Source organism: Homo sapiens, chromosome 14, assembly GCF_000001405.40.
Source record: "Homo sapiens chromosome 14, GRCh38.p14 Primary Assembly".
NCBI classification, from domain to species: domain Eukaryota; kingdom Metazoa; phylum Chordata; class Mammalia; order Primates; family Hominidae; genus Homo; species Homo sapiens.
The window spans coordinates 89,189,689-89,203,757 of NC_000014.9; the positions used below are offsets into that span (position 1 = coordinate 89,189,689).

At 42.4% G+C, this 14,069-nt stretch overlaps 1 protein-coding gene across 2 annotated transcripts in view, besides 1 other annotated feature; it reads right to left on the reverse strand.

Annotated features, from left to right (window-relative positions):
- FOXN3 (forkhead box N3) overlaps window positions 1-14,069 on the reverse strand; it is a 462,989-nt gene that overhangs the window by 33,512 nt on the left and 415,408 nt on the right. The window contains exon 5 of one of the 2 annotated variants that reach the window (NM_001085471.2): window positions 696-761. The exons of the other annotated variant lie outside the window; for it this stretch is intronic. Coding sequence (NP_001078940.1) covers window positions 696-761 — 66 coding nt within the window. The remainder of the gene's footprint in view (window positions 1-695; window positions 762-14,069) is intronic. 2 annotated transcript variants of the gene reach the window in all.
- Window positions 12,044-12,103: an enhancer, noted in NCBI's record as "active region_8848". NCBI's record gives its function as "activates an Ori minimal core promoter by ATAC-STARR-seq in GM12878 lymphoblastoid cells {active_cell/tissue: GM12878}" and the evidence as "EXISTENCE:reporter gene assay evidence [ECO:0000049][PMID:35858748]".

Below are 14,069 nucleotides of genomic sequence, written 5' to 3' on the forward strand. Positions count from 1 at the left end.
ACTATCTCCAGAGATGGTAAAAACCTCAGGTGGTGAGAAGAGAAGTCTCAGTAAGGAAATGTTGTCTCAAACTTGACATTGTTGAAGGCCAACAAAAAGAAGGTGAGGATGGGAGTCCTGCTTAGCTAAACAGCCCTACCCTGCTATCTGGGGCAGCCTGGGAGGCTGGATAGAAATGGTCCAAGCTGGTAGCGTGGTTTCATTTCAAAGATATTCCAGGCTCCAACAGGCCTATTTCACTAGACTCTTCTCCAAAATGGCAGCCTGGCGATGAGGTCCCAGAAGAGAAAGAAATTTCTAAAAATGGGTACTGCTCAGGTCCATTAGGGTTAAGTTGACCCCATGTAGCCTCTTCTAGGAGAAACTACAAACTCACAGGAACAATACCTGCAGGAGCAAGGAAGGCCTCTTCACTGGGACTCATTAAAGGATCTGTTTCCCTTTCCCCAAGTCTTAAGTCCTGAAATTATATAAGAACTTTCTCATCTTGGAAACACACCTATGCATTCATTCATACATATGCATGGCTGCATGTTTATATGCATATGCATGTAATCATGCACTTATGTAGCTTTTAAAGTGATTCTATAAGGGAAGTTCTACTTTAGCATTAGTTCTTCCTATGACCTGGTGTATAAATGAGAAGGTTAAGTTCACAAACTATGGTGCTGTAGGCTATAGAAATATCTACTCACAACCTGCTTGTATCTCAGGGGGAGTATTCAAAAGCATCATGGCACTGGCAGCATCAATGTCAGGATCTGGAAAAATCAACCAATAAATAACATTATTTACAACGGGGCCGGTGTGTGTGTGTGTTTTTCCCCCTGCAAGTTACAGTTTATGAATGCAACAGAGAAAAAAAAAATATCCAGCAACTGGATGAGCTATCCCAAAGGCGACTTTCTTCCCAGTGGGATTTGAGAAGAAGAAAAGGTATTCTAGAATGAGATTTAAGGATCATGTTAGTAAATTTTTCATCACACAAGCATGGTTTCTTCTCATTTTGTTAATTTTATAATTTGCACTGTATGTTCCTGATAAATTGCTGATCTATGCACCCCCACAGCTTTTACCGTGGGGTGAGGAGCAGGAGAGTCAGTGACAATAGGAAGTTCAGCCATATGAATCTTTAATGAACTGGGGAAAGCTCACAGCATCAAGAAAGCATTAAATACACCTGCATCTAGTGAGATACAAACAAGACATGTGGTCATTTCCATTTGTCAGCAGAATGTAAATTGTGTTTCACGAGGTTATGTGTTTGTAACAGTGGTGTGGATGTGGTGAAGGCATTAAAAAAAAGCACTTAAAATATAAAGAAAAAAGTAAAGTTGTCATGTTGAGGGCACAATGTTTGCTTCCACTTCTATTATTGCTTTTAATATGGGTAAAAAAAAAATACTCATCACTCCATTGCTATAATTCTTAATAGGTTTCTGAATCCTTACTGATCCACCAGTTGACAGATGGCAGGTTATATAGAGACAGAGAAAAATATTATCCTTTTATAACTAAATTCATTTTCCTCTGAGAAACAGCAGCTCTGCTGCTATGGAAATGAAGGTCACCATGGCAACAGTAAACAACCCCCAAGAATGGTCACTGAATAGGCTGAAAAGAACATCTGCCCCAGCGCAGCGTCCCAGCTGCCCTGGGGCGAAATTCACTAATAGTGCGGTGATGCCGCGTGACAGAAGCTGCCGCCTGTGCCCTGTCCAAATAAATGAAGTGTGCAATTGAAGTCGACATCAAAATGCCTTCCCTTGCAGATTACTGCCTCTGTGTCCGCCAAACCCAATGACTAATGATGGGGGACAAGGGGCTCGCACTTGTCAGTTTTTGTACAAATTACATACCAAAAAATTCAATTTGCTACTAATGGCTCCATGGCACCTTATTTTGGATATTATGCTAGAAAATTACTTTTTTAATGTTTAAAAAAGTACATTTTTCATACTTTATATGTGTGGTTTAATTCCAAAGGAGTAACATGATTGGTAAAAAGAGGCCCACAAGCGATTAATGATATGGATAATGCTGGTTCCCGAAAACAGGGTCTCAAAAAAAAAAAAAAATAGAACTTGACTTTGAAGAGTTTTTTTTCTATTTTGCCTGCAGGAGGCCTGTTACTTACATTCCATAATGGACTAAAAGTTTATTTTAATAAGTACATTATATGAGAAACAAGTAAATTAACTTATTTGGCAACCCTAGGGGTGAAATTCCTAAAACAGTCACCATTTCCCACTGATATTAGTATATATATATATACACATATATATAACTATAATATATAATATATATTAGCTAATATAATTAATCATTAATCATCAACTAACATATATAAACTATTATATATAATAATATACATACTATATTAGCTATTATATATAATAGTATATATACAGTTTATATATTTGGCAACTCCAGGGGTGAAATACCTTAAACAGTCACCATTTCCCACTGATATTAATATATATTATATATTAATATATTAACTACAATGCACATTAAATATGTATATGAATATTATATATTAAGTATATTATATTAACCATTATATATAACAGTATATATTAAGTACTTATATATACTATATAATAAACTATGCATACTATTATATATGATCATTAATAAAATATATAGTTATATGTAATAGTATACAGTTTATATATTAACTATTTTATATAAGTTAATATACAAACTACAAAATATCAGTTTATAATAGTTGTAATAGTTTATAATACATAAATTATATATTATATATAAACTATAGTTTATATATACTATTACATATAATAGTTAACATTTTATAAACTATATATTAGTTTATAATAGTTGTATATAACTTTATAACATATGAATTATACAATATATAACACATATGTTATATGTAATATAAACTATATAATATAAGCTATATAAACTATATAATATAAACTATATAAATCTTATATAGTTTATATATACTATTATATATAATAGTTAATATACACTACTATATATAATGGTTAATAGTTTATACTATTATATAATAGTTAATATATGTATACTATCATATATAATAGTTTATATATTATTAGTTGAATTTTATATATTTAATATATATAAATATATAAGATATAGAAAAATATATATATTTATATATAAAACCATTCAGCTAAAAAACTAAAAGTTCTTCCCACTGCCCCTGTGGCTCCCACTGCCCCGGGTCCCTTGGTCCCCCACAGGGCCTGTTGCCTGCAAGCAGCACTCACAGCCCCAGCATTCTTGCTGGCATCTCACAAGTCACAAGGGACAAGCAGTTCCTAAGGGGGGCTGTTAAGGCCTCAGGCCTTTCCCTCTTGCCCCTCGTTTTAGAAAGGGCCTTTTCCTTTCTCAGGGGGTAGCCAAGAAAAACGATTTTTTCCTGCCAAGCAAAAGGTCTCTGCCATTATTGAGAACGAAAGTGCTACAGGTGACCATGGTTGGCCTGGCTACATGGTCCCTGCCTCCGCAGGTGACTCGTACCCAAAGTTTTTCTCGGTGGCCAGGAGGTTTGCTGGGCCCAGAACAAGAAGAAACACAGGGAGGAAGTCTGGAGTCTTTTCCTATTTATATGGCCAGAAAATTAAAGAAAATATTTCAGTATTCTTCCAAAACACATTAAAGGAAATTGTAGAGGGACACAAATAAAAAGAAGACATAGTGAAAGAAAGAAAACAGAAAGAGAGAAAGAAAACCTTAAAGGAAAAGTATTCCATCAATAATCACACATGTGGGAGAACCTAAGTGGGACATTCCCAAGGCACACTTGTGGGGGTGCTTTGGATCTGTAGAGCATCCACCTATGACCCCCCACCCCCCCACCTTCTGTTATTCATCAAAGATGGGGTGTCAATAGTTCATTCCTTATGGCTATCGCTGAGTGGTAGTCACTGAACGGAAATACCGCAATCCATTCACCGGTAGGTTGACACTGGATTGTTTCCAGTTTGGGATATGATAAAAAAGCTGCTGTGAACTTTTATACCAGTCTTTTTTGAACCTGTGTTTTCATTTCTCTTGGAAAATTGCTGGTAAATGTATATTTAGCTTTATAGAGAATTGCTACATTGTTTTCCAAAGAGGGTGTACCACGTAGGAGAGTTCCAGTTGCTCCATATTTTTTTTGCCACTACTTGAAATTGTCAATCTTTAAAAACGTTAGCCATCTAGGGGATATATAGTAATATTTCACTGGGGTTTTCATTTTTATTTCCCTAATGACAAATAACCTTGAGCATCTTTTCATGTGCTTGATGGCCATTCGTATCTTACATGAAAAGTCTGTTAAAGTCTTTTACCCATTTTTTAGTTAGGTGGTTCAACTAGTATTATTCAGTTGTAAGATTTTAAAAAATATTCTGAATATAAGTCCTCTGTGAGATACATGGTTTTTTTTTCTCAGTCCATGGTTTACTATTCAGTTTCTTAAGAGTGTCTTTTAATAAGCAGAAGTCTTTAATTTTTTAGTCCAGTTTACCATTTTGTTCTTTTATAGCTTAATGTCTTTTGTGTTCTAAGAAATCTTAGCCTACCCTAAAATTGCAAAGATTTCCCAAGTGTCATCTTTTATGTTTTCATTTGTGAGTGTACTAGATATAACACTTTCTTGGTCCAATATCCAGATTTACAGGCAAACAAAAATAGAAGTAATCACTCAGACCTCTTTCCTTAACTAGCAAGCTGGTTAAGCACAGACCTAGCACTGTAGATCAATGCCAGGAGGACCCTCTTTGGCTCCTGGGTTGAACACCAAGCAGCCTAATGAGTCTGACATCCTTCTATGGAAAAGTGTCCTGGACTCTCTGCTAGAACGTCTCATATGCCTTTCTCCTTGTCACACCCTGACACCCTGTGAGTGCTTCTGTCTTCAGAGCCAACAGCCTCCTGTCTCTCCTCTCCAAAGATAAGAGATACTATAATGCTTGCTCTTATCTATTATTAAAATACTTAAGTTTTTCCCTTTTTATTAAAAGTCATGAAAGTAATATGTGCTCACTGTAAAAAAAAAAACACTAGATGGATATAATTTGAGAGAGAAATGCCTTCCCTATAAGCTTACTTTCAAAATCATACTTTCTTATATATATGTCCAAAAATTATGTATGTGAAAATAAGCATATATGTACATATTCATTGAAAAACTAAGACACACACACATATATATACGTACTCATGCATGCAAATCTATTTTTTTAAAAAATAGCTTTATATGGAAAATAGTTTCCTGCAACTTAAAATTTTTTTCACTTATTTCGTCAGCCTTTTATATTAGTATATGCTATCAAAAGTTTTTCTACGGTGAGAATTTTGTGCATAAATACACACTGCACTGTTTGTACAGGCATTGCCTTTTCTTTAGATTGCAAACTACCAGAAGGTAGAAAGAAAGTGTTTGGGCTGATTAAATAACTTGTGCTCAGCACGGTACTCCAACCTACAGATTCTGGGCACCTAAGGGCACTGCCTCTGCACACTTCTCCCAGTCCCCTCACCCCAAACACCCCTCCCTTTGATCTCTCTACCCCACCCCTTCCTATGAGGACACAGTGCTGCCCCACTCTCTTCCTCCTGTGCCTCTCTCTGGGGCTTACTCCCACTCTCTACCTTAGGTGATGTGCTACTTCTCATCAGCACACTCTGGGTCTCTATAAAAAAGTCCAAATTTTCTGTGGTCAAGAGAGACTACTGGTGGTTTACCTCTTTAGATAGCAGAGGAACTTTCTGATGCAGGCACGCTATTGTGGTAGGATGCTTCGGACCAAAGACATTGGAGATTTGTGGCTGGAAGCATTTCAGGGAACTGGGTAGCTGTTTGGTGGACAGCGGGGGCTTCTGCTTCAGAGGCATAGCTGATTGTGAAGGGTAAAGGGCCCAGGACAAGATCTCCAGGAGGGGAGCAGTGGATTGGCTTTGTAGGATCTTCCCTAGATGGTCCAACCCAGTTTATCAGCAAAAGAAAAGAGAAAGGCATTTTGGCCAGGAACTCTTTCTAGGAATGGAGACCCACTTGGCAGGAGTGCTTCACGTTATATCTCAGGGGAATGAAGTGAGACAGGGGGGTACGAGAGAACAAGCAAGTGCCACCTTTTAAATTTTTGGATGGGCAGGGTCCTCCCATCAGTACCTAATTCAGCAATCAGTACCTAATTCAGCATTCCCATCAGTACCTAAATCATTGATTGCTGGTTAATTCAGTATCACACCAAGCATGCTGTCATGGGTGCTGAATAGAGTTATGACCAACCATCATCCAGACTGAGCCAATCTCAAATCCCATATTAAAAAAAAATTCCTCCTTCGCCCATGCTTCAGTAACAAATGTTACTTCTCCTCTGGACCGGTTCCCAGCAGCCTATTTCAATTTTCATCTTTAATGTAGTTGTCTTATCACATTGCCTCTTCTCTGTAGTACGAGACTGGAAAACGGTCACACGTCTTAAAGATGTTTTCAAATCCTCTTCTTTTGAATGTACACACACAGTTATATTATGCTGCAGGGAGACAAACAGGTAACACAGTTTCCAGAATCAACGGTCCAGCTATTTGGGTGAAGAAAAATATTGAGCCTCAGTTTCTCAAACTGTTGAGATGGTTCCATGGGTTGTGGAAGAGGCTTCTCCTCCGTGGACAGGACGGGAAAAGCACTGCACTAGACATGAGGATTCTTGGGTTTAAGTCCTGGGTCTGCTGACTTTCCTTTCATTTTGCTGTGCCTGAGTCCACTCATTTTAAAATGATGGGTGGGTGGCTGCAGACTTGGAAGGGGCCGGTTTGGTTTTTCATCCCTTTCCACATAGTTCCTGCTCTGTAATGTCCCTTGATTTGCTCCTCCCTTTGTGACTTGTGGCTGCCAGAGCTACGGATTCCAAGGAACACCTACCAAATGGGGCATCTACTCCAAAGACCTTAGGGGCAGCTAACAGCCTTAGTAAGGCTGGGAGAATACACTATTGCCTCCAGAAAGCCATAGCCTGTCCTGATGGGTCCCTGCCAGGTCTGTTTCACAGCAATCCATCAAGCCTGGTGTGGGTATTCTGTGGGTTCCTGGTGTGGTTTCTAACCATGTTCATTCCGCTTCCTCTGGGATTTAGTTTCAGTGGGAAGTGACTTGGAGAGGCCATTTGCTTTAACAAACTAAGAATACAAGGCCAGCAGGAAGCCCCTGGTTCAATCCACACTGCGATATATACCTGCTGCAAAAATGTAAGCACTGCCTTCAGCACCTCTGAGCTGACCAACCTAACAAAACAATGACAATGAAACACTTCCTATAGAGAAAGCCTAAGAATCATAACCATTACTTTCTTAGAAATCATGTGATTTTCCACAGGGCTAATGTGTTTTGTTTCTCCAGCTCTCTCTGCTCCCCCTCACACCTGAGGGGTCTTATAGGATGATGAAATCTCTTTAACTGAATAAAAGAAATTCAAGAAACAAACAAACAAAAATACCAAATAATAGATGACACACACTCAGACAGAAATGATCAGATATAAGAACACGGGTAGGCTGGGAGTGGTAGCTTGTGCCAGTAATCCCACCACTTTGGGAGGCCAAGGTGGCAGATTGATTGAGGTCAGGAGTTCAAGACCAGCCTGGCCAACATGGTGAAACCCCACCTCTACTAAAAATACAAAGATTAGCCGGATGTGGTGGTGCACACCTGTAGTCCCAGCCACTCGGGAGGCTGGGGCATAAGAATTGCTTGAACCTGAAGGCAGAGGTTGCAGTGAGCCGAGATGGTGCCACTGCACTCCAGCCTGGGCGACAGAGCAAGACTGTGTCAAAAAAAAAAAAAGAGCACGGGTACATGGTCAGATACATACACTAGGGTGTTCCCTAGCACCTAGAACAGTGCCTGCAACATCCAGAGTGCTGGATAGTTAGTGAACAAGTAAATGGATGGCTTGTCCAATCTGCTCCTGGGTGAATCCAGCTGCCTGAGGCCTGGCACCCAGCTTGGGGGAGAAGTACTGGATGCTCCCCAGGGCATAAGCCTCCAGATGTGCAGTGAAATTCCACGGGAACCCCAGAAAACCAAACATCAGGCTCCACCCTAGCTGAAGGAATCTTTGTAGGAATCTGTCAGGGAATTCTGAAGTGTTTGAAAGGCGAAGAACGGCTGTCGCAGTAAATGAAGGATGCCATCCAAAGAAGCCATCAAGGAAGACAAGTGCTGCCAGATCTTCTGTAACATTACTAGACTTCTTTGCTTTGAAATATCTTTGTCCATTTTCTCTAACTCTGCATGAGAATGACACAACTGGGGCATTAATTAACCCCCTACAATGAAGAAAAAATACAGTCAGCCCTCCATACCCATGGGTTCTGTACCTGTGGTTTCCATATCCATGGATTTCATCAGCAAAGGATCAAAAATATTAGGGAAAAATAATTCCAGAAAATGTTACACTGTTGCTGACATGTATACTATGTAGTGAGATGATGGCCGCGTCTGTACTGAACATGTTCAGGCTTTTTTCTTGTCATTATTCCCCCAAACAATGCCATCTAACAACTATTTACATAGTATTTACATTGTATGACGTATTATAAGTAACCTAGAGATAATACAGAATACAGAGGAAGATGTGCATAGATCACATACAAATACTACACTGTTTTATATCAGGGACTTGAACATCCTCAGATTTTGGTATCTTAGGGGGTCCTGGAACCAATCCCCCATGGATACCGAGGGATGACTGTGCTTAGATAACTTTTAGGGCCAAAGGGATAAGAACAGATGAAAACAAGCAAGCAAACAAATAAACAAAACTCCAAGTAAGCTGTGGATTTTGTGGGGAAATGCTGAGTAGATCTGCATTAACGCACACCTTGTATACTAAGCCAGTATTTCCAACTGCAGGCAATTTTGCACTTCTTTCCCCCAAGGATGTATGGCAATGTCTGAAAATGTTTTTGATTGTCATGACTGGGTGAGAGCTGGAGGGTGCTACTGGCATCTAATGGGCTGAGGCCAGGGAGGCTGCTCAACATTCTACAGCGTAAAGGACAGCCCTCACCACAAAGAACGATCCAGTCCAAAAGGTGAATAGTGCTAAGGCTGAGAAACCTCACACTAAGCTCACAGATACATGTGGTATGATCAAGAAAAGCAGCTCTTCAAACCAAACTATCTCCAATAGAACACATCAAAAGTAAACAGATATACAATTCACTTTGTTGTTGACGTCTTTCTTTTCCTCCTTTTTGCAAAATCCCTAGGCATCGGTTAAGACAGATAGGATATCTACATTTGTTGCTTTGAAATCACTGAAGTAAGTAAGAGCCATACCCTTTGGCTTCTGTTGCAATCAATCAAGATATCTATAACAGCCGCCTCTGATCTTGAAGGCAGCAGAACACGGGGTGCCGTCAGCTCTACTGACGTCATTTGCCATGAATATTTCTTCCACTTCCCTTTTGGCTGAAGGTTATTGAGAAAGAAGTTGCCCGAGTGAGCAGGAGGGATGAAGTGGGAAACAGGAGACTGGATTCACTGTGGACATGAACTGCAAACACCTTAGGGGTTCTTGTCACAGTGAGACAGGAGACAAAGTGACGCCAGTGAGCCCGGTGCACAAGCTTCTGATGAGCAGGATTTTAGGGAACAAAAATCTCCCACTAAGTTGGACACCAAGTTGTGATTTTACGCATCATCTTTAGGATGGAAGTTGGAGACGGAGAACACCAAGAGGGGCCTTTCTTCTCCAAAAAATGAATCAAAGAGCACCCCAAACTCTTGCTGCTCTGAAGACATGAGGCAAGCTCAAAGCAATGATTAAGCAAACTGAAACTAACAGCTGTTTGTTGGAACAAAAGATGATCTAATTAAGTTGGTAGGTGAGTGGGGGACTCGGGGGGAAAGGGGAAAGGATGAATGATCTATACAAATACTACACTATTTGTGGTGGCTCATGCCTGTAATCCCAACACTCTGGGAGGCCAAGGCAGGTGGATCACTTGAGGTTAGGAGTTCAAGACCAGCCTGGCCAACATGGTGAAATCCCATCTCTACTAAAAATTCAAAAAATTAGCCAGGTGTGGTGGTGGGTGCCTGTAGTCCCAGCTACTTGGGAGGCTGAGGCAGGAGAATCACTGGAATCCAGGAGGCAGAGGCTGTAGTAAGCCAAGATTGTGCCACTGCGCTCAAGCCTGGGCGACACAGCGAGACTCCATCTCAGACAACAACAACAACAACAACAACAAAAACAACAACAAAAACTGCACTATTTTATACAAGAGATTTGAACATCCTCAGGTTTTGGTATCTTAGGGGGTCCTGGAACCAATCCCCCATGGATACCCAACGGATGACTGTGCTTGGATAATTTTTAGGGCCAAAGGGATAAGAACAGATGAAAACAAACAAACAAACAAACACACACATCTCCAAGTAAGCTCTACATTTCATTGGGGGTACTCTGGGTATGAGGCTCCCATTCACACATTTCCTGAGTCTTTCCAGCTTAAATACAGTGACTGGTAAACTCTAAATGAAGAATGTACGGGCTCTGAGGAACAGTATCACAGTGAACCCTGCAAATTCGGAATACATCTGTCCAAGTCAGCTCCCCAACAGGGGGCATCTTTCTAACTCGTGTAAATTGCCCATCTATTACCCCTCATTTCACTTAATCAGGAAGGGGATTCTAGGAAAAGCTACTGGAAGGTAAGTACAGAGCTCAAAGAGCATCCTGGGCTGGGAGCCTGGTGCTGAGGGCTGTCTCAGGCGCCCCAATTCTAAGGTGGTGTTAGGATGGCCGGGCTGGAAGCTCTCCGGGCCTCTCACTTCCTCAGAGTCGATCACTGTCCCTGCTGCTCCTCTGCTGGAGAAATGAAAGGAGTACCTTGATACTCCCCAGGCAGATGCTTTCGTATTTCTGTTTTCTCCGGGCAACAAGAACCGCTTTAACTTTGATGTCTTCTGAGTCCCTTAATTCTAACGTCCTTTTCGCCTCAGCAGCGAGGTCTGCGTCACATTGCCGTCACATTCCCGAATCTGTGATTCCAAAGCAAGTGAACGCATCACCTCCAGCCCTTTGACAAGACACTGCCATCCCAGACACCTCTTTTATCTGGCACTCTAAATTTTCCTACTGATCAACATTGACTTCTTTAATATCTTTGACCAGTTGATCAAAATCTTTCTAGCAGCTGCCTAGGAAAAAACTCAAAGAACCATGTGGACAGAAACTGAGAATACCAAAAAATCTAAACTTCTAGATTTGAAGCCCAGGACAAAGGTGACAAATGACCCAGACCAAGTTATGATCCTGTCCCATGGGTAATAAGACAGAGCCATTATTGAAGAGGCAGGGGGTTTTGATTTGGTTCTGTTTGGCTTGTTAACTGTGCTGGACTTGTCTGAGGTCAGTTTATATATTTTTTAAATTTTTTAAAGCTCCCTATAGATGAATGAGAAACTACACATTCCTCTCAAGTCTCTTCCCCTTTGCATCTCATCCAGTTGTGAATCTCTGCTTACTGCATTCTCTGGTTTCTGTCTCCTGGGTCACCCCTCTCTGGGGATGGCAGTAGCTCATAGCCATGTGCACAGGGGACATTTGGGGTTGCCGTGGAAGAGATTCTGACCCTGCAGGGAGGGAGGAGAGGGCGATTAATGCCGAAGCCCTCTAGAGTCTGGCATTCTTTGCTTTGAAAATGTCCTGCTTGCTCCTGGTTTCTTCATCCAGTGTTACAGCTGAAGCTCACCGCCCAGGAGGGGACTGGAGCCAGCCTCAGGTGCAAGAAGGCTTCCACAGGGCAGGAACAGGAATGGAGACTCCCAAGAGACCCCAGAGCACCTCAGAGCCTGGCCACACTGGTGTCCAAGAGAAAGGATGTGCCACGGCCAGAAGCCAGAGGTGGGACCAGGAAGCCCCTTGAGACCACAGCCAAAGGCCCAGGGAGATGCTCAGAGTATAGGGGCCTGGGCACGGCCAGCCAGGGACCACCAGTGCATCTTTCTTGAGTCTGTTTTTCCCCCTCTCTATGCTATAAGGTCATCTTCCCCAGTGATTGGCTTTCCCCAACCATCACTTCTCTCCACTTATTGGAAGATAGCTCCTGCCCAGTTCCCACGCCAGAAGCCACTTCCTCCTCTAGTAAAAGGGTTCGTGGTTGCTGGTAACCCCTGCACCAACTTTCCCACAGCTGTGGGGGTGCTCATAGTGGCTTGGCCCCAGCAGGCATGGCAGTGCTTGTCAGTGCTGAGAATTGAGTATTTCCACATGCACGGCATCTTCATTAACTCTGTCTTCAACTGGGTCAATGTGCAAATAATCTTTTACAGAAGGAAAGATTCCATCTCAGAGTGACACTGGCAGGTGTGTTAGTGAGAGTAAATACCACGCAGAACCCTGCCATCAGTGCTTCAAGGCACACACTAACTGCGTGCCCACCTCTCCACTGTCTTCCTCCCTAATGCTCGAGCACTGAAGAACTGGAGGGTGACTCTGAACATAGGCTCACTTTGCCTGGGGATGTATGTCTTATACTAACTCAAAATAATTTAAAAAGGAACTATGGAGCCAGTGATGTTCCCACACCTGACACCTGCCTCTCATTATAGAGACACAGGACGTAGTCTGAGAACAAAACCTCACTGTGTTCTTTCTGGGTAGACTTCTACCATATTGAATCACACACCCGGTCCCACTATGCCATAAACCACTGTTCTGCTGAGGCAATCTCTTTGTTACAAAAGGTTTTGCCTTTTGATTTCCTTACTAGAAAGCTGCTTCTCAAACATCTGGAAGGGGATTTGTAATGTGCTACAGTTTAATGTGCTCGACCTCTCTAAAGCACATGCTGAAGTTTGATCCCCAGCATTGGAGGTGGGGCCTCACTGGAAGTGTTTGGTTCACGGGGAGGATCCCTCGTGAATGGCTCAGAGCTGTCCTTGTGGTCATGAGTGAGTTCTTGCTCTATGTGTTCCCGTGAGAGCTGGTTGTTAAAAAGAGCCTGGCACCTCCCTCCCTTCCCCCATCTCTCTCGTGCTTTCCCTCTCACTCTGTGATTCCTCCCCTCCGCATTTCGCATGAGTGGAGTAGTCTCAGATCTCCATCAGAAGCTGGTGCTGGCGCCATGAAGTTGTACAGCCTACAGAACCATGAGCCAGATAAACCTCTTTTCTTTATAAATTACGCAGGCTCAGGTATTCCTTTCTAGTAATACAAAAAAACCCCACAGAACTTTGGAGCCTAAATCTCTAAGATCACGTAAATTCTGCAGCTGTGAGATGCTACAGCTCTGGGGCAATGGTTATCTTCCACAGCCAGGAGTGACCCACCATTTCCCTTTTTTAAACTTTAAGACAGGTCCAGTGGTGCTCTAAGAACCCATCTGCAACCAGGGAATGTGGGGGGGGTGGGGGGAGGGGGAGTGAGGAGAACATATTAAAAATAAAATAATTCAACTATTTACAGCCCATCAAGTAATCAGTTACAGATCCCCAGCAATAGGTACTCCAGGGGGCTGAAACCCGAGAATGCAATAGGTAGAGATGTTGAGGGGAGGGGACTTCAGAGGGATGTGCGGTTTCTCACCTTGACTCTTTATGCCTGCACCACAGGATTTAAGAGCAGTTCAAGCAAACATCGCAGAATTCCCTCCCTTTGCTACAGTGGACTTCCAAATCAAAGTCTAGGGCGTTCTTCAGAGAGAGGCTCTGGATATCCAGCCAAGGCCCAGATCTGTTCTCCCTCCCACATAGACCAGCAAGCCTCATAGTGCCCTGTGTCTGTGGCACCCGAGGGAGGCTGTCTGCCAGGCTAGGTGTGCCTGGAGCATGTCCCTCCTCTGGGAAGGAGGGCATGGAGGGCAGAAGAACCAGTCCTGACCAGGCTGCCCCACTGGAGTCATGCGCTGAGCGGGCAGAGTGTTTAAGGAAGCGGGGGCGTGTGGTATGAATACTCAGATCACAGCATGTGCATGGGGCAGGCAGATATGCTGCTGGGCTGGGGCTGGACAAGGTGGAGGGCAAGGAAGAGTGGGCAAATGTCACACATTTCTTCCGCTCCCAGGGCTCCTTA